The sequence below is a fragment of the Homo sapiens genome, chromosome 13 (assembly GCF_000001405.40).
Source record: "Homo sapiens chromosome 13, GRCh38.p14 Primary Assembly".
NCBI lineage: Eukaryota > Metazoa > Chordata > Mammalia > Primates > Hominidae > Homo > Homo sapiens.
In genome coordinates, this window is record NC_000013.11 from 44,078,881 (window position 1) to 44,080,815 (window position 1,935).

The 1,935-nt window shown below is 44.4% G+C and overlaps 1 annotated feature.

The window, feature by feature from the left end:
• Positions 570 to 1,451: an enhancer, noted in NCBI's record as "NANOG-H3K27ac-H3K4me1 hESC enhancer chr13:44653586-44654467 (GRCh37/hg19 assembly coordinates)". NCBI's record gives its function as "activates a minimal SCP1, AML or CMV promoter by ChIP-STARR-seq in naive H9 embryonic stem cells {active_cell/tissue: H9 hESC(naive)}" and the evidence as "EXISTENCE:reporter gene assay evidence [ECO:0000049][PMID:30033119]".

A 1,935-nucleotide genomic window follows, 5' to 3' on the forward strand; every position in this document is an offset into this window, starting at 1 on the left:
TTACAAAGGAAGTTTTCAAATATATTGTTTGGGTAGGGGGAGGGGGTATGCAATGAGACTCCTCACTCCCTAAATCCTTCCAGCTCCAAGAGAAGTCCAGTAGCGAGCCTTTGTCATGTAAACTGGAGTAGAGAAAGGATAAATGCTTTCCAATGTTTGCCTCTTTTATGCAAGAGATAAGATTAAAATTATGCTAGTAGGGAGAAAATGAGTCTGAGGTACAGACCAGATAAGGGCTTTCAAGAGGAAATGAATCCTCTGAATGGACATTGTGTTAGGCACTATGCAACAAAGCCTTATCTGGCCCGAACTGTCAATAATGCCATGATCTTGGGATTGTAAGAGAGGTCGACCCTCTCCATTCTCCGTCCCATTTCCAACAAGACCAGAATTTAATCTTCACTCACTCACTCATTTAATAACTATCTATCAAATGCCTACTATGTACCATATGCCATTCTAGACACTGAATACATTGGCAAACAAAAACAGACAAAGGCAAAAAATAGTAAATACATAAGACGTCTTATTACATAACAAGTATATGTGTATTAGTAAATGCTACGAGAAAGAAAAGGAGAGCAGGTAAGGTGGTTGGGAAAGCTGTGGCAGGGAATGGGAAGTGTTTTGTTCATCAGGATAAGCAGAATGGGCCTCACGGAGAAGCTAACATTTGAGCAGAGACCCGAGGGAGGTGAGGGAGGTGGCCGTTTAGATGGCTGTCTGAGGGAAGCGCAGTCCAGGAAGAGGCAGGGCACAAGATCTAAGCAGCACACAGACTGTGTCAAGGAACCACAGGGAGTTCTGTGTGGCTGAAGCAGAGCGAGCAAGGAGGGCACAGCAATAGCAGCTGAGGTATTGCAGAAGCAAACGTAAGGGCCAGATCATACAGGGACTTATGGCCATTGTAAGAATGTTGGATTTAATTCTGAGTAAAAGGAGGAGTCTTCGCAGGCTTTTGAGCAGAGGAGTGGCATGATCTGATTCATGTTTAGGAAGGGTCAGCGCTAGCTTCTGGGCTGATGACAGATGGTGGACAGCAAGGGTAGAAGCAGAGAGACTGATGGGCATTTAGGGCAGTGATCCAGGCAAGAGATAAAGCTGGCGCTGACCTGCTTGGTTACAGTGGAGGTTGTGAGAAGTGGTTGGATCCCTTCCCCTGTCCTCATCCCACTCTTGAGGCCATAAACACTGAGAAATGCACTCGATCATCACACAGCAGAGCTAGCAGAACAGGAGAAAGGAGAAAAGTCTTGATGTTCTTGTGCAAATGGAGGCTGTAAAATTGACAAGATAAGACTGGACTTTGGACTTGATGCTGAAACAAGTTGGGACATTGAGGAACTATTAGGATGCAATGATTGTATTTTACAATGTGAGAAGAACATGAGATTTGGGGGGCCAGAGGTGAAATGGTAGTTTTGGATGTTTTCTCCCCTCCAAATCTCATGTTGAAATGTGACCTGCAATGTTAGAAGTGGGGTCTAGTGGGAGGTATTGGATCATGGAGGCAGATTCCTCATGAACAGCTTAGCACCATCCCCTTGACTAGTAAGTGAGTTCTCACTCTGGGTTCATGCAAGATCTTGTTGTTTAAAAGAGTCTCTCTCTTGCTCACTCTCTCACCATGTGATGTGTCTGCTCCTGCTTCACCTTCTGCCATGAGTGGAAGCTCCTTGAGGTCTCACCAGAAGTGGAGTAGATGCCAGTGCCATGCTTTCTGCACAGCCTGCAGAACTGTGTGCCAATTAAGCCAGTTTTTAAAAATAAATTGCTCAGTCTCTGCTATTCCTTTACGGCAACACAAAAACAGACTAATGCACCCAGTATACTTCCAGGCACACTGTGTCAAACAAATAGTAACTGATGGAAATATAGAGCTGTAAACACAGTGTACAATAAACTATATGGCTTGACACACTTTCATGAAGTCAA